Below are 17,087 nucleotides of genomic sequence, written 5' to 3'. Positions count from 1 at the left end.
AGACGGAGTTTTGCTCTGCCGCCCAGGCTGGAGTGCAATGGCGCAATCTTGGCTCACTGCAATCTCCGCCTCCCAGTTCAAGCGATTCTCCTGCCTCAGCCTCCCGAGTAGCTGGGATTGCAGGCATGCACCACCACACCCAGCTAATTTTTGTATTTTTAGTAGAGACTCCTGACCTCAAGTGATCTGCCCACCTCAGCCTCCAAATTGCTGAGATTACAGACGTGAGCCACCGCACCCGACCTGTAGTTGAGGTCGTCTTAGGGATTCACAGAAGTATTTATCTTTCTCCTTTGGTGATTTTCTGTTTTGTTTTTTGAGACAAGGTCTCATTTTGTCACCCAGGCTGGAGTGCAGTGTCGCAATCTTGATTCACTGCAGCCTCAACCTCCTGGGCTCAAGCGATCCTCCCACCTCAGCCCCCCAAGTAGCTGGGACTACAGGCACACACCATCATGCTGGGCTAATTTTTTTGTAGAGATGGGATTTCACCATATTGCCCAGGCTGGTTTCAAACTCCTGAGCTCAAGCGATACACTCGCCTTGGCCTCCCAAAGTGGTAGGATTACAGGCGTGAGCCACCATACCCAGCCCACTCTTTTGTGATTTTTAATTACAAAATGACACGTTTGTTAAGATTTTTGAAAATTCAGTATATACTGAAAGTTCTCCACTCCTCCAAAGGCACAACAATTAACTCCTTCCCTCAGGTATTTTCCTAGATATTTGCAAAGTAGTTGACTTTACAAAAATTGAATCGTTGATATCTTCCCCCAAAAAATACTGCCTTTCTTGTTCTGGCAAATTGTTCTGTAGAATTAAATGTATTATTTTTGAAAACTTTGATACAATTTTCATGACAGAAGGATGTTTGGCTAAGGTTTTCTGAAGTTTCCAGAACCTACGGACTATTTATTCATTTATTAGTCAAATACTGAGTGTTGGCCGGATGTCGTGGCCCACACCTGCAATCCCTGCACTTTGGGAGGCCGAGGTGGGCAGACCACTTGAGGTCAGGAGTTCGAGACCAGCCTGGCCAACATGGTAAAACCCTGTCTCTACTAAAAATACAAAAATTAGCCGGGCTTGGTGGTGGGCACCTGTAATCCCAGCTACTCAGAAGGCTGAGGCAGAATTGCTTGAATCCGGGAGGGAGGCGGAGGTTGCAGTAAGCCCAGATCGCGCCACTGCCCTCCTGCCTGGGCAACAGAGTGAGACTCCATCTCAAAAAAAAAAAAATGCTGAATGTTTATCTCAGCCAGGAAGTGTGCTGGGGGGCAAGATACAGCTGGGAAAGAGACAGCTGTGCTTTCACCATTCAGTGAGATACTGCACTGGAGGCTGGGGGAGCAGAGGAAGTGGCTCTGGAGGGCAGAATCCTGCTGAAGGCCTTGCCATAGGTCTGGAGACAGGTTGGTGACAGGGGCCCTGGCTGCCCATAGTTCCAATAAGGCCTAAGTAACTTTCTCTAAGGCTGGAAGCCTTAGGAAGAAGCCAGGTGAGAAACCTGGCATCTGGTCCCATTGAGGCCAAATTACAGCTCCACGGGGGCCGCATGGAAGTGAGAGCTCCCTTAAGACAGCAGATGTGAAGGAAGCAGCGAACACAGTGCTTGATGGCAGCTGAGCTCATGTAGCAGGAGATATTGACAGGTCTCTAAGACTACAGGAAATCGTTGAATTCAATGAGATCATGCATGGAGATTGCCTATACCGTGCCTGGTCATGGTAAGCATTCAGACATTAGCTACGATAGGGACCATTAATTCAGCAAACAAAGATTTATTGCCTCCCTATTATGGTCAATAATCCTACTGTTCTAGGTGTTGGGATACAGCAGTGAACAACAGACAAAATCCATGAGCTGTCAGAGCTTTCCTTCCAGCAGAGAAAGACAAGCAATCGCAAAATGAACAAGCAAAATATATAGTACATCAGCTGGTGCTACAGAGACTTAAAGCAGTGAAGGGGCGTAGGAAGTGTTTGGACCAGGTGGTGCTATTTTATTTTATTTTATTTTATTTTTATTTTTTAGAGACAAGGTCTCGCTACGTCGCCCACGCTGGAGTGCAGTGGTGAGATCCTATTAGATCCCTGCAGCTTCGAACTCCTGGGCGATCCTCCCACCTTAGTTGGTGCTATTTTAAATAAGGCTGTCAAGGAATACAAGTGCAAATCAAGACAAAGGAGGTGAGGGAATGTGCCATGCAAATACCTAAAGAAATCAGTCCAGATTGGGAAGGAACCCCTAGAAGCGGTGGGCAGTGCAGTGCGGGCGCTCTCCTCTGGCTGCGCCCTTTCCCTCTGTGAGGCAGGACGTCAGGTCAGAGCTGAGGGAGCATGAGGAGGAAAGAGGCGGGGGTGGGAAACAGTCTCGGGAGGGGGCGAGCAGTCAGGATTGCAGCGCTCGGAGGGCTTACTGCCTCTGAGGTCAGGGCTGATCGGCAGAGGATTTAGCATCTCTGGGGGCTGGGATGCCAGGGTCCAGCAACCTTGCTCTGGCCCACAGGCCGACCCTGGGCGTAAACACCTGCCTATGCACATCTGAGCCTAGCACCTAACGCCACTGTACATACAAGCACGATATTTTTGAACATTTGACGACTTAGTTAAGCCTCCCAGGTGGCTGCACCTGCGCAGTTCACTCAGGTCCGCAATCCCTCATCTGAAACGCCTGGTCTGGGCAAGTATGAGAATTCATACCATTCTAGATCGCAGGAGGGCGTGGAGCATTCGAAAGAGGGGCCTGAGCGGAGGTCTTGCTGTCCCAGGGAGACCCCGGCTGCCATTAGCAAGCGGTGAGCCGGCAGCCTGTGCGCGGAGGGAAGGGCAGCGCGCAGCGCCCAGTGGTGAAAGAGGCGCTAGCGCACGCGCAGTGAGCGTTTGAGAGGAGCAAACCCGTCGAGACGAAGCTGTAGCGCAAGCGCAGTGGGTATTGAGAGCGGCCGCACCAGCTGAGGGTTCGCGCAACGCTAAACGATGGCCGGGACTAAGGCCTGAGACTCAAGCTCAGGCGCAGTGAAGCGCAGAGCCGCTAGAGTGTCGCGGAGGGCGCCTGAGGCGCATGCGCGGACTCAGCGTTTTTAAGAAGGGCTGGGGGTGCTGGGGAGTTCGCCCCAGCGTGTTGGGGGGGAGTCGCCGCCGCGGGGGGGGGGTTTGGGGTCACCGCCGCGGGGTTTGTCGCCGCCGCTGGGAGCTCACCTGCGTCCGAGGCCGTAAGGACGGCTCCAGTTCATCCTCCATCCGCCTCTGCCGCAGCACTGAGGCTGAAAAGCCGCTCACTCCTTACTCGGCTAAGCCCCAAGCTCATCTCTGCAGGCCGGAAGGGAGCTCTGGTCCAAGGTCATCTCGGCCAAGCCCCTGCATTCGCCCTCGCAAGTGCCAGCAAGCGACTCTGGTCGCCGCGCTCCCAAGTCCTCCCCCGAAATTCCGGCTCTGGCCCCTCGTCCCCCTCCTTTGCTACAGTCTCTGGACTAAATGTCTGCGGGTCTCTGTCTCTCGCTGGTCTGACCTCAGCCGCAACCCTGCGCGATTCCCTGCGCCGGTCGCCACTGCCGGCCGCCAGAACCTCGGAGGCCACTGCCCCTGGGCGTTCTCCGGAGGGCCAAGCCCTTGGTTGTGCACATCTATGCACGCCCCACCTACACCCCCCCCCCCCCACACACACACACTTTGGTTCAGGTATCCCCGACCTTTCCCCAGAGGACGGGAAAATTAGGAAAGACCGAAAGATAGACCCACCAGTCTTCGGAGCGCTCTCATCTGTGCGTCCTGGGCAGAGCGAGAGACTTGGCGGAATGCGGGTAGGAGAACCGGTCTCGGGTTGCCGCCAGGGGATCCATTGCGTGAGAGGCAGGTCCGACTTATGCTGGGGGCACTTGGAGTTGAGGAACCACAGAGTCCACTGAACCGGATTAATCTTTTATCCCTCAGGGCTTCTCAGGCCCTGCATGGAGGAATCCAGGAGCTGGACAAAGACCAACTGAAACTAGACTTGCCAAAGATGCTATTTGTGGTCACAGAAACATAGAGCTGGACATGACCTTAAGAAGTCACCTGAGCAGACACTGTGATGGGCACTGTAGTAGCTCTATTGCTCAGACTTGGTTTTTGTTTGACTTTTGCTGCTCTGAACTTTAATTCCTAAAAACACTGCATTTTTAAGGAAAAACACAAAATATTAGCAGTTATAATAAATAGGTATTTTATTGCATGCTTTTCGTGCATCTATTAAGATGATCATATGGGTATTCTCCTTTAATCTGTTAATGAGATCAGTTACATCAATAAACTTTCTAATGGTAAACCATTCTTGAATTCTTGGGGTAGACGCAACTTGGTCATAATATTATTGTTATTAATACATTGTTAGTTTCAACTGCTGATATTTTATTTTGATAGGTTAATTTTTTTCTTTTTTTTTTTTAATTTATTTATTTTTTTTTTATTGATCATTCTTGGGTGTTTCTCGCAGAGGGGGATTTGGCAGGGTCATAGGACAATAGTGGAGGGAAGGTCAGCAGATAAACAAGTGAACAAAGGTCTCTGGTTTTCCTAGGCAGAGGACCCTGCGGCCTTGGCCTTCCGCAGTGTTTGTGTCCCTGGGTACTTAAGATTAGGGAGTGGTGATGACTCTTAACGAGCATGCTGCCTTCAAGCATCTGTTTAACAAAGCACATCTTGCACCGCCCTTAATCCATTTAACCCTGAGTGGACACAGCACATGTTTCAGAGAGCACAGGGTTGGGGATAAGGTCACAGATCAACAGGATCCCAAGGCAGAAGAATTTTTCTTAGTACAGAACAAAATGAAAAGTCTCCCATGTCTACTTCTATCCACAGAGACCCGGCAACCATCCGATTTCTCAATTTTTTCCCCACCCTTCCCGCCTTTCTATTCCACAAAACCGCCATTGTCATCATGGCCCATCCCCAATGAGCCGCTGGGCACACCTCCCAGACGGGGTCGTGGCCGGGCAGAGGGGCTCCTCACTTCCCAGTAGGGGCGGCCGGGCAGAAGCGCCCCTCACCTCCCGGATGGGGCGGCTGGCCGGGCGGGGGGCTGACCCCCCCACCACCCTCCCGGACGGGGCGGCTGGCCAGGCAGAGGGGCTCCTCACTTCCCAGTAGGGACGGCCGGGCAGAGGCGCCCCTCACCTCCTGGATAGGGCGGCTGGCTGGGCGGGGGGCTGTCCCCCCCACCTCCCTCCCGGACGGGGCGGCTGGCCGGGCAGAGGGGTCCTCACTTCCCAGTAGGGGCGGCCGGGCAGAGGCGCCCCTCACCTCCCGGACGGGGCGGCCGGCCGGAAGGGGGGCTGACCCCCCCCACCTCCCTCCCGGACGGGGCGGCTGGCCGACCCCCCCCCCCCCACCCCGCCTCCCTCCCGGACGGGGCGGCTGGCCGGGCAGAGGGGCTCCTCACTTTCCAGTAGGGGCGGCCGGGCAGAGGCGCCCCTCACCTCCCGGACGGGGCGACTGGCCAGGCGGGGGGCTGATCCCCCCACCTCCCTCCCGGACGGGGCGGCTGGCCAGGCGGGGGGCTGACCCCCCCCACCTCCCTCCCGGACGGGGCGGCTGGCCGGGCAGGGGGCTGACCCCCCCTCCCCCCTCCCGGACGGGGCGGCTGGCCGGGCAGGGGGCTGACCCCCCCACCTCCCTCCCGGATGGGGCGGCTGGCCAGGTGGGGGGATGACCCCCCCACCTCCCTCCCGGGCGGGGCGGCTGGCCGGGCAGAGGGGCTCCTCACTTCCCAGTAGGGGCGGCCGGGCAGAGGCGCCCCTCACCTCCCGGATGGGGCGGCTGGCCAGGCGGGGGGCTGATCCCCCCACCTCCCTCCCAGACGGGGCGGCTGGCCGGGCGGGGGGCTGACCCCCCACCTCCCTCCCGGACTGGGCGGCTGGCCGGGCGGGGGGCTGACCCCCCCACCTCCCTCCTGGACGGGGCGTCTGGCCGGGCAGAGGGGCTCCTCACTTCCCAGTAGGGGCGGCCGGGCAGAGGAGCCCCTCACCTCCAGGACGGGGCGGCTGGCCGGGCGGGGGGCTGACCCCCCCCACCTCCCTCCCGGACGGGGTGGCTGCTGGGCGGAGACGCTCCTCACTTCCCAGACGGGGTGGTTGCCGGACGGAGGGGCTCCTCACTTCTCAGACGGGGCGGTTGCCAGGCAGAGGGTTTCCTCACTTCTCAGACGGAGCAGCCGGGCAGAGACGCTCCCCACCTCCCAGACAGGGCTGCGGCCCAGCAGAGGCGCTCCTCACATCCCAGACAGGGCGGCGGGGCAGAGGTGCTCCCCACATCTCAGACGATGGGCGGCCGGGCAGAGACGCTCCTCACTTCCTAGATGGGATGGCGGCGGGGAAGAGGCGCTCCTCGCTTCCCAGATGGGATGGCGGCCGGGCAGAGACGCTCCTCACTTTCCAGACTGGGCAGCCAGGCAGAGGGGCTCCTCACATCCCAGACGATGGGTGGCCAAGCAGAGACGCTCCTCACTTCCCATACGGGGTGGCGGCCGGGCAGAGGCTGCAATCTCGGCTCTCCGGGAGGCCAAGGCAGGCGGCTGGGAGGTGGTTGCAGCGAGCCGAGATCACGCCACTGCACTCCAGCCTGGGCACCATTGAGCACTGAGTGAACGAGACTCCATCTGCAATCCCGGCACCTCGGGAGGCCGAGGCTGGCGGATCACTCGCGGCTAGGAGCTGGAGACCAGCCCGGCCAACACAGCGAAACCCCGTCTCCACCAAAAAAAAAACGAAAACCAGTCAGGCGTGGCGGTGCGCGCCTGCAATCGCAGGCACTCGGCAGGCTGAGGCAGGAGAATCAGGCAGGGAGGTTGCAGTGAGCCGAGATGGCAGCAGTACCGTCCAGCCTTGGCTCGGCATCAGAGGGAGACCGTGGAGGGAGAGGGAGAGGGAGAGGGAGAGGGAGGGGGAGGGGGAGGGAGAGGGAGAGGGAGAGGGAGAGGGAGAGGGAGAGCAGGTTAATTTTTTTTCAAAACAACCATTGCCTTTTCCCCCTTAAGAAATAAGTGGGAAGTGGCCGGGTGCGGTGGCTCACGCCTGTAATCCCAGCACTTTGGGAGGCCGAGGCAGGCAGATCACGAGGTCAGGAGATCGAGACCATCCTGGCTAACACGGTGAAACCCTGTCTCTATTAAAAATACAAAAAATTAGCCGGGCGTGGCGGCACGCTCCTGTAGTCCCAGCTACTCGGGAGGCTGAGGCGAGAGAATGGCGTGAACCCGGGAGGCGGAGCTTGCAGTGAGCCAAGGTCGTGCCACTGCACTCCCGTCTGGGCGACAGAGAGACTCCGTCTCAAAAAATAATAATAATAAATAAGTGGGAAGTGACGGGCTAATAAATGGCGCTAGGACAGTTGATGATATGGGGAAAAAGTGTGGACCTCTGTCTCACTTCATATACAAAAGTCATTCCAGGTACACACAAACCTAATGCAAAAACCTAACTTCAAACATTTTAGGCTGGACGCAGTAGCTCCCACCTGTAATCCCAGCACTTTGGGAGACTGAGGCAGGAGGATCACTTGAGCGCATAAGTTCAAGACCAGCCTGGGCAACATGGGCAGACCCCCATCTCTATAAAAAAAAATGTAAAGGCCGGGCGAGGTGGCTAATGCCTGTAATCCGAGCACTTTGGGAGGCCAAGGCAGGTGGATCACCTGAGGTCAGGAGTTCCAGACCAGCCTGGCCAACATGGCGAAACCCCGTCTCTACTAAAAATACAAAAATTAGCTGGGTGTGGTGGCGGGCACCTGTAATCCCAGCTACTCAGGAGGCTGAGGCAGGAGAGTCACCTGAACCCAGGAGACAGAGGTTGCAGTGAGCCAAGATTGCGCCACTGTACTCCAGCCTAGATGACAGAGTGAAACTCCATCTCAAAAAATAAAAATAAAAAGGAAATATATAATACTTTTATAACCCCGGGTTAAACAAGGATAAACCACGCAGATTTCTTATGAGGATTTAACCTTATTAAAATTAAAAATCTGTGTGTTAAAAGACACCATTAATGGGCCAGGCACAGTGGTTTACGCCTGTAATCCAAGTACCTTGGGAGGCCACGGTGGGTGGATTGCTTGAGCCCAGGAGTTTGAGAACAGCCCGGGCAGCATGGCAAAACCCCGTCTCTACAAAAATTACAAAAAATTAGCCGGGCATGATGGCTTGAGCCTGTGGTCCCAGCTACCCAGGAGACTGAGGCTCAGGGAGGATTACCTGAGCCAGGGAAGTTGAGGCTGCAGTAATCGGTGATCACAGCACTGCACTCCAACTGGGGCAACAGAGTAAGACCCTGTCTCAAATAAACAAACAAAAGACGCCATGAAAAGGTGAAACCTGGCCAGGTGTGGTGGCTCCAGCCTGCGATCCTAGCACTTTGGGAGGCCGAAGTGGGAGGATCACTTGAGTTCAAGAGTTCGAGACCAGCCCTGACAACATAGTGAGACCACATCTCGATTTTTTAAATAAAAAAATACGCATTTTTTAAAAAGTTGAAACCTAAAGCTACCAAGTAGAAGAAGGTAACTACAACATATGACCAACACAGTATTAGTATTCAGAATGTATATAGAATACCCACATACCAATAAGGAAAAGAAAATGGGCAAACAGGCTTGACACGGTGGCTCATGCCTATAATCTCAGCACTTGGGAGGCCAAGGCGGGGCAGATCGCTTGATCTCAGGAGTTCGAGACCAGCCTGGGAAACATGGTAAAACCCCGTCTCTACCAAAAATACAAAAAATTAAACCCCATCTCTACCAAAAAATACAAAAAATTAGCTTGGCATGGTGGTTTGGCCTGTAGTCCCAGCTACTCAGGAGGCTGAGGCATGAGGATCACTTGAGCCCAGGAGGCAGAACTTGCAGTGAGCCGAGATCGTGCCACTACACTCCAACCTGGGCGACAGAGTGAAACTCCGTCTCAAAAAAAAAAAAGATATGAACAAGGAATTTACAGAAGAGGAAACTGAAATGACCAAAAAACCTAATTAAAAGATAGCTACATTAGTAATCAGGAAATGCAAATTAAATCCACATCAGCATATTGGTTCCCACTCAACAGACTAACAGCTTAATTCTGGCAATACCAAGTGGTGGTGTTGATCAGCTGGAACACCCACGTACTATTGATGAAAATATCAGTTGGAACTAGGTGTGGTGGCTCATGCCTGTAATCCCACCACTTTAGGAGGCCAAAATAGGAGGATCATTTGAGGCTGAAGTTTCAAACCAGCCTAGGCAATGTGGTGAGACCCTGTCTCTATAATTTATTTTTTTTAATTAGCTGGGCACAGTGGCACACCACACAGCTGTGGTCCCAGTTACTTAGGAGGTTGAGGTGGGAAAAAAAGCTTGAGCCCAGGAGGTCAAGGCTGCAGTGAGCCATGTTCACACCACTGCACTCCAGCCTGAGTGACAGACTAAGACCCTATCTCAAAAAAAGGAAGGAAGGAATGAAGGAAGGAAGGAAGGAAAAATGTAAATCAGTGCAATGACTCTGGAGAGCAATTTGGGCAGATGAAGGAAGTTGAAGTTCACATACCTCTCCCACCCAGCAATTCCACTCCTGGGTTTACCTTGGAGAAACTCTTAATCCCATGCTCAGGAACTGTTCACAAATGCAGCATCTTTTGTACCATAGGAAAATTGGAAACTATCCAAATGTCAATCATGCAAAAAAAGGAGATATAAGCTGTAGAATACCATAGAATACCATGCATCAGTGAAAATCAGTGGACTAGACTAGAGGAACGGTATCAACATGTGTGAATCACAACGCTGCATGAACAAAGTTGCAGAAAGATGCCTACACTATTATGCCTGTATATTGTTTGGAAATATACAAAACCGTACCTAATGTGTGTAGGAATATATATGTCTACATAGTAAAAGCCTGGGGGCGAGCCTGGGGATAAGTCCCAAATTTAGAACTGGGTTTAACCTTGAATCCAAGACCCTGCCAGACTGGATCCTGACCTGGCCACCATTAACAATACCTGGCTGCCCCTTGATTCTCCTTGAAATGCCTCTTGGATGCCCTAAAGCCACCCCCATCTCGTTGGAGACAGGTCCCCATGTGTGGGCTCCCCAGACATTAATTATTATCCTTTGGCCAGGAAGCTCTAGGTTTCGCCTCAGCAAACATTGACTGGGAGTTTAACCTTGGGCATGTGAAAGTCATATCTGTATTTGTAGCAGCCTGGTGCTCACATCCGTCCTGTGCAGTGCTAGGTGCAACCACCCATATGTGGATGTCAGCCTCATTTACGAGGGGAGTCCCTGAGGCTCTGTGAGGCCAAGCCGGTGCCCGCACCAGCCCTACAGCCCGGCTGGCAGAGCTGGTCTTCCTCACATTGCCAAGGGAGGAGCGCAGCTCAAACTAAAAACAATCAATACAGGCCGGGCGCGGTGGCTCCTGCCTGTTATCGCAGCACTGCGGAAGGCTGAGGCAGGCGGATCAACTGAGGTCTGCCTGGTGAAACCTCATCTCTACCAAAAATACAAAGATTAGCCGGGTGTGTGGTGGGCGCCTGTAATCTTAGCTACTGGGGAGGCTGAGGCAGGAGGCTTGCTTGAGCCGGGGAGGCAGAGGTTGCAGTGAGCCAAGATCGTGCCACTGAACTCCAGCGTGAGCGACAGAGCGAAACTCCGTCTCAAAAATAAATAAATAAATATTTAAAAATAAATAAATAAAAACAATCAATCCAGCGAAGCCCGCTGGTGATACTGACTCCCACCCGGCCCGTACCCCACCCGGGAGCCCACCGGCTCTTCCAGCGGGGTGCCTCCGTGTCCCTGAACTGTCTTAGAAAATGCCTGTTACCTGGGCCTAGGGAGGCAGGGCCCAGCGTTGGGGACATCCCAGGGATTCCGTCTCCTGGTGGAGACTTTCCCAGCCCTCGGGGAATGAATGGGCTCACCGCGCCCGGGTCCCGCCCCCGTTCAGCTTCTTCCCCGCAGGCTTTTCGGGATTTCCCCGACGCCGCCCAGACCGGCTCCGGCCGCGAGGGGGCGACAGAGCCCGGGCTCTGCGGAACCCAGCACCAGCGATTGCCGCCGACTCGCGAAGGTTCAGTGGTGGCGGTGACACAAAGGAGGCCTGCGCCCAGGCGCCGCTGGGTAGGGGGCACTTCATCTGGGGAGGCTCCCCTTTCTGCCTTGCCCTCCCTGCCCCTCAGCTCTTGGGCGCTCCAGTCCTGGCCGTTGTACCGAGTTGCAGCCTCCTGCCCTGCGCCACCCGCCCCGGTGCGATTTCACTTGCCCTGTCCTCACATCCAGCCGCGCGGGGCCGGGTGGGCCAGGACCCTGGGGAGCTGAGAAGCCTGACGCCAGTCCCATCCGGCCTCGGCCCGCCTGCGTGGCTCTCCTCTCTGCTCCATGCGGGGTGGGACAGGTGCCTCCTACCTGGAGCCAAGGCTCAGGCAGCAGCAGGCCCGGTCCATCCCTGGGGATGAGTGAGGGGTGCAGGGCACGGCTGACTGCGGGGACCTAGCGTTCCTGAGCACCTCACTGCTAGTGGGCTGAGCAGCTCTAGGCCAGCCTGTTGGCCTCTCTGAGCCTCGGTTTCCTCATCTGTCAGTGGGCTTGAGAGCGCTGTAGCACGGAGGACTGTAACACGGTTCAAGGCTACCCAGAGGCCATTCCTCCCTGCAGCCTTTCCTATTGCCCCCACGTGGGTGGGCATCTCTGTCCTACACCAGGGGCCTCCTGCGGGGGAGAGGGAGGAGGTCAGGAGGCCTGATGATCACTGAAGCCTCTGCCCCCGGGGTTCAAGCGATTCTCCTGCCTCAGCCTCCCGACTTGCTGGGATTACAGGCGTGAGCCAACATGCCCGGCTAATTTTTGTATTTTTAGTAGAGACGAGGTTTCACCATGTTGGCCAGGCTAGTCTCGAACTCCTGACCTCAGGTTATCTGCCCACCTTGGCCTCCCAAAGCACTGCGATTACACGCGAGAGCCACCGCGCCCAGCCAACACAGGGCCTTTTTTGATCCCGCAGTTGTCCCAGACAGACCCTAACCTCAGATGGGTGCACTGGGGGGCTGCAGCCTAGCTGGACAACCTCACTCAAGGTTGGCGACAGGGTGCAGGGGTGCAGACAGGCAGGTCCTGCAAACTACCCAAAGGCCTGCTTCTTCCTCCTCAGAGCTGGCATCCACTCCGGTTCTGGGTCTCATTTCCAGCGTAATGGCTCAAAGACAAAGAAAGAAAGAAAACAAGCCCCAACCCCACAACCAGCTGAGGCGGCCCCTCCTGGCCACCCTTTGATGTTTGAGGACTGAACAATGGGGCTGATTGCAGATGAGAGATTTGAAGCCATCTTAATTAGAAGGAAAGAATGTCCTCGTGGTCGGCTGTTCTAAAAATACAGCTGTGCCCACATCTGGAGGGAAAGGGTGGGGGCCTGGGAGGTGGGGACGGTGGTTAGGCCAGAGTCTGAAGCACTGATGCCTGCATTCCTTGGGGCGGAGGGGGCCTCTAAGCAGGGCCTCTTGGAAGGGGGTGGGGAGATGCCACAGCAGCCAGTCCGCTGTGGCTGGACCACCTTCTGCAGGTTTGGGATGCGCAAGCAGTGGGACAGGTGTGCCTTCCTGCGTCTGCCCTCACCAAGGAAGCCCTCCCCGTGCCGCAGCCTCGGTTTTCTCTTCTCTCCAACGGGGCAACCAAATTGGTCATTTGTTTGCATTTCAAATACTCACTTTGCGACCTAATCTTGCATTTGTTTTGCATTTTTTTTTTTTTTTGAGACAGAGTTTCACTCTTGTTGCCCAGGCTGGAGTGCAATGGCACGATCTCAGCTCACTGCAACCTCCGCCACCTGTGTTCAAGCAATTCTCCCGCCTCAGCCTCCCGAGTAGCTGGGATTATTACAGGAGCCTGCCACCACACCCCACTAATTTTCGTAATTTTTGTATTTTTAGTACAGATAGGGTTTCGCCGTGTTGGCCAGGCTGGTCTTGAACTACTGACCTCAGGTGATCCGCCCACCTCGGCCTCCCAAAGTGTTGGGATTACAGGCATGAGCCACCGCGCCCGGCTGTTTTGCATTCATTTTCTTAAAGAGGCCCCCCAGTCTCATGAAAGTGAAGGGCATTGGAGGGCTGGGTGAGTGTTTGGAGGAGGACGTGGAGGCAGGGGCCCTGGTGGTGTCACTGTGAAAGGATGGGTCACCTGGGTTGTCATCTCAGCCCACCGTTAGGAGCCTCCCATCCCAGCGGCTGGACAATCACCTGGCACGGGGAGCATGCCCCTCACTCATGGGAGCAGGGCCTGGCTGCTTGGTGGGGCTATCAGTGGATGCAAGCCAGTGGAGGTGGGGTGAACCAAGGCCTTTCTTTCTTTTTTTTTTTTTGAGACGGAGTTTCGCTCTTGTTGTCCAGGCTGGAGTCCAGTGGCACGATCTCAGCTCACCGCAACCTCCGCCTCCCGTGTTCAAGCGATTCTCCTGCCTCAGCCCCCCAAAGAGTTGGAACTACAGGCATGCACCACCATGCCCAGCTAATTTTGTATTTTTAGTAGAGACGGGTTTCTCCATGTTAGTCAGGTTGCTCTAGAACTCCCGACCTCAGGTGATCTGTCAGCCTCAGCCTCCCAAAGTGCTGGGATTACAGGCGTGAGCCACCGCACCTGGCTGAACCCAGGCCTTTCTGAACCTCTCCTTCCACCAGACCCATGGCTCTGAGTCACTAGTCCTGGGCAAGGCCTTCCAGAGTGGTGGCCCCAGTCCCTAAAGATTAGTTTTGTTTTCGTAGAGATGGAGTGTCACGCTGTTGCCCAGGCTGGCCTCGAACTCCCGGGCTCAAGCAATCCTCCTGCCTCCGCTGGGACTACAGCCACACGCCACTCCGCCAGGCTTTTTCGAAGTCAAAGACAGAGCTGTCTCAGGTTTTGTCTCTGTGAACTCATATCCCTGGCCCTGCCATATGGCTGACTCTGCCAAACAGATAATCTGCTTCTCCCCCTACACCGCCCACAGTGCTGAGCTTGAAAATAGCTGAGGCAGGGGAGGGGGAAGCCCCCACCAGATGCTCTGGAGCTCTGGGGTGCTTGGCCGGAGGTGGCTTTGACATTCTGGCAGCGGCCACAGCAGGAAGTGGGAATTCCTGGCAATTGCTCTGGGTCATGACAGTCAGGACACAGGCTCAGGCAGGTCCCGCAGCTGAGGGCTGAATGGAGACAGTTTCATCAGCCATGAAGGGTCAGAGACAGTAAAACGAGGCCCAGACAGCAGGGAGGCAGCTCAGGAGTGGAGTCTCATGTTGGAGACGCTCCCTGGGAGCCCAGAGGCTGCAAAAAGTTCTCACCTCCAAACCGGAGCTGGAAAAGGGTCTGGGGCTGCACAGCATTAGCTGGTTGGTGATGTCCCTCACTCCCCTGTGCCCCAGTGATGGGGTCAGGGATAGCTCACTTCCTCCGCATGGGTCCCTTCCATCACCCGTTATGGTGGCAAAGCCAGGACTGCTGATTTTGTGCCTCTTTAGCTGTGTGTCCTCAGGCAGTTTACTGAACCTCTCTGAGCCTATTTTCTCATCCGTAATAGTAACCTACTTCATCAGGTGGTGATGAGGGTTCGGTGAGTTTAATAAAAGCCATGGTGCAGTCTGGCTATAGATCACTGAGCAGCTATTATCTCCCGCACTTCACAGGTCCTTGCCTAGTCCATGAGCAGCACACGGGCCCATTCCTGCCTCCCCACTTTTGCTTAAGCCTTTGTCCCTGCCTAGCACATCCCCTCCTCCTCCTGTCCTCATCAGGAGCTCTCCTGCCCCACGGCTGCCCTGGACCACTCACCAGTGCATTTCCACTCCCTGCTTGGTATGGGATTCAGTGTCTCCTCCCCTGGCCAGAAGCTGAGCTCCTGCAGGAAAAAGGCACCCACAGCGACTCCCTCCCCAGCCCTGCAGGCCTCTCTGGCTGTTCCTGACCATAGGCCCATGAAGGCTCCTGGCTGAGAGGAGACAGCGAGGAACAGATCCGGCAGAGAGGACTGGCAGGGGCCCTCCAGCTTCCTCTGTTGGTGCATTCTTGCTCATAAGCATTCACTTATTCATAGCAGAGATGGGCCTTGGATGGGGAGGCCAGCTGTGTTTGTTACAGGAAGGGGCTTCCACCCAGAAATCTCTGATACCCCCATTATAGATCAGAGTACAACCTTGGAGCTGAAAGAGACTCTACACATGGACCCTTCTGACCCGCATCTCACAGAGAGGGACACAGAGCCAGAGAGGGAAGGGAGTGCTCAGGTCACAATGCCAGCCCCGAGGCTGCATTTCCAGCCCTGGAGTCCAGGTCTCTGTCTTCACAAGTTTCCCTGTTTTTCCCTGTTTACCAAGCCCCTGCCTGTGCCAGCTCCGCAGCAGAAACCAGGCCTAGAGGGGCCATTGTGTGGACAACTGCAGCCCTTCTGCATGAAGCAGGAATGACCAGGGCCACGGAAGGGAAGGAGCTGGGAGGACTGGGCTAGAGGCCAGGGAGGGCTTCCACCCCACAGCACCCCAAGCTCACCTGCCTGACTCAACGAGTGGTCTCCCTCCCTTACTGGCCATTCACCCATGTCTCCACCCAGTGGGGGCTCACTGTCCCCCAAGCTGGGTAGGCCAGGACCCCTCCTACCTTCACCCCCACTACCAAGCATTCACTAAGGCCTGTGGCTTCAGCCATCCTAACCCTTCCACTCCCTCGCTGTTAATGCAAGCCACTGCAGGCCACCGCTCTCCTCCCCGGCTCATCTGATTAGGACAGAGACCACGGCCGACACACCTCTGCCTGGCCTGGCCCCGCTTCTCCCTCCCGTCACAAGCAACTCTTCTTCCTTGCCTCCTTCACCTTCTCTCCTCTGCTCCCTTCCTCTCCCCCAGTTACCTCAGGGCCTTTGCACAGGCCCTTCCCCTATCCTGGCCTAGCTAGTGCAACCCATCCTCTGCCCCATTCTGCTTCCTCCCTCCCCATCCCACCCAGAGACCAGCTTATTCCTGGAAAGTCCAGATTCTGCTACCAGGTTCAGAGGGCCAGGCCCAGGCCGCTCCCTCTGCAGCCTGACACAACCCACCTGGATGGTTTGTTGTTCTTGCGCTCCGGCCACAAGCAGCTGCTGCTATGTGGGTTCCGGATTCAGTGCTAAAAATAGCCTGTGGCCCAGACAGGAAGGGCCAAGGGGGACACAGCTGTTTCTGGGAGGGGCTAGCTGGAAGCCTACTCACAGCAATTGCAGGGGTCCCTGTGCTCAAAGGGGGTGGGCCCCGTGCTCAAAGAGGGGAGAGGTCCCCCAATGGACAAGTGCTCAGGGCCCAAAAGGCACTATGTGTCATCAAGAAGAAAATACAGCTGCACCAGCAGGTACACAAACGTTCAGTTTGTTTGATTCTTGTGGTTAGTTACAACAGGCATGGACTGCCTTTAGAATAAAATATATTTAAAAATTAAGTGCTCAGGACTCTAACAGAAGTAGGTGAGCTCTGGTCCCTTTGAAGGTGACCAGGGAGGGCTTCCTGGAGTAGGAGGCACTTTCACCCTCTGCTCTTCCTCTCTTATTTTTTTAATTTTATTTATTTTGCTTTTAAGAAACATATTTATTTTATTATTTTATTATTTTTGAGACAGAGTCTTGTTCTGTCGCCCAGGCTGGAGTGCAGTGGCACGATCTTGGCTCACCGCAACATCCGCCCCCGGGGTTCAGGTGATTCTCGTGCCTCAGCCTCCTGAGTAGCTGGGATTACAGGTGCATACCACCTTGCTTGGCTAATTTTTGTATCTTTAATAGAGACAGGGTTTCACCATGTTGGCCAGGCTGGTCTCCAACTCCTGACCTCAGGTGATCCACCGGCCTTGGCCTCCCAGGGTTCTGAGATTACAGGCATGAGCCAATGTGCCCAGCCAGGAAACATTTTTTAAAAAATATTTTTAAGAGTCGGGGTCTCACTCTGTCACCCAGGCTGGAGTGCAGTGGTGCAATCTCTGCTCACTGCAGCCTTGACCTCCCAGGCTCAAGCGATCCTCCAGCCTCAGCCCCCTGGCTCTCTCCCCCTTCCCACTTGGGGCTACAGGCATGCACCAGCACGTCTGGCTAATTTCTGT

General features: G+C 55.2%; 1 protein-coding gene across 6 annotated transcripts in view, besides 4 other annotated features; it reads right to left on the bottom strand.

The window, feature by feature from the left end:
- The window catches only part of SLC2A11 (solute carrier family 2 member 11), a 29,379-nt gene extending 25,581 nt beyond the window's left edge, over positions 1–3,798 (bottom strand). For 2 of the 6 annotated variants that reach the window (NR_104248.2, NM_030807.5), the window contains exons 1-2: positions 3,741–3,798; positions 3,201–3,311 (exon numbers count right to left, since the gene is read on the bottom strand). Coding sequence is in view for 4 of the 6 variants with exons in the window: in NM_030807.5 (NP_110434.3) it covers positions 3,201–3,242 (42 nt within the window). In the remaining 2 variants the exon portion in view is untranslated. Of the gene's footprint in view, positions 1–2,702; positions 2,858–3,200; positions 3,581–3,740 lie in introns of those variants that run through there. The other 4 variants (NR_104247.2, NM_001024938.4, NM_001282864.2 and 1 more) reach the window with 3 other exon arrangements.
- Positions 10,685–11,440: an enhancer, noted in NCBI's record as "H3K27ac-H3K4me1 hESC enhancer chr22:24191479-24192234 (GRCh37/hg19 assembly coordinates)". NCBI's record gives its function as "activates a minimal SCP1, AML or CMV promoter by ChIP-STARR-seq in primed H9 embryonic stem cells {active_cell/tissue: H9 hESC(primed)}" and the evidence as "EXISTENCE:reporter gene assay evidence [ECO:0000049][PMID:30033119]".
- Positions 11,441–12,196: an enhancer, noted in NCBI's record as "NANOG-H3K27ac-H3K4me1 hESC enhancer chr22:24190723-24191478 (GRCh37/hg19 assembly coordinates)". NCBI's record gives its function as "activates a minimal SCP1, AML or CMV promoter by ChIP-STARR-seq in primed H9 embryonic stem cells {active_cell/tissue: H9 hESC(primed)}" and the evidence as "EXISTENCE:reporter gene assay evidence [ECO:0000049][PMID:30033119]".
- Positions 12,197–12,954: an enhancer, noted in NCBI's record as "NANOG-H3K4me1 hESC enhancer chr22:24189965-24190722 (GRCh37/hg19 assembly coordinates)". NCBI's record gives its function as "activates a minimal SCP1, AML or CMV promoter by ChIP-STARR-seq in primed H9 embryonic stem cells {active_cell/tissue: H9 hESC(primed)}" and the evidence as "EXISTENCE:reporter gene assay evidence [ECO:0000049][PMID:30033119]".
- Positions 15,857–16,350: an enhancer, noted in NCBI's record as "ENSG00000099964_22:22516569-22517062 (NCBI36/hg18 genome assembly) insert fragment". NCBI's record gives its function as "drives selective reporter gene expression in differentiated C2C12 myotubes {active_cell/tissue: C2C12}" and the evidence as "EXISTENCE:reporter gene assay evidence [ECO:0000049][PMID:22144875]".

The sequence above is a fragment of the Homo sapiens genome, chromosome 22, assembly GCF_000001405.40.
Source record: "Homo sapiens chromosome 22, GRCh38.p14 Primary Assembly".
Lineage (NCBI taxonomy): Eukaryota > Metazoa > Chordata > Mammalia > Primates > Hominidae > Homo > Homo sapiens.
Note: the sequence above shows the minus strand (reverse complement) of the source record. Positions and strands in the feature narration are given on the sequence as shown.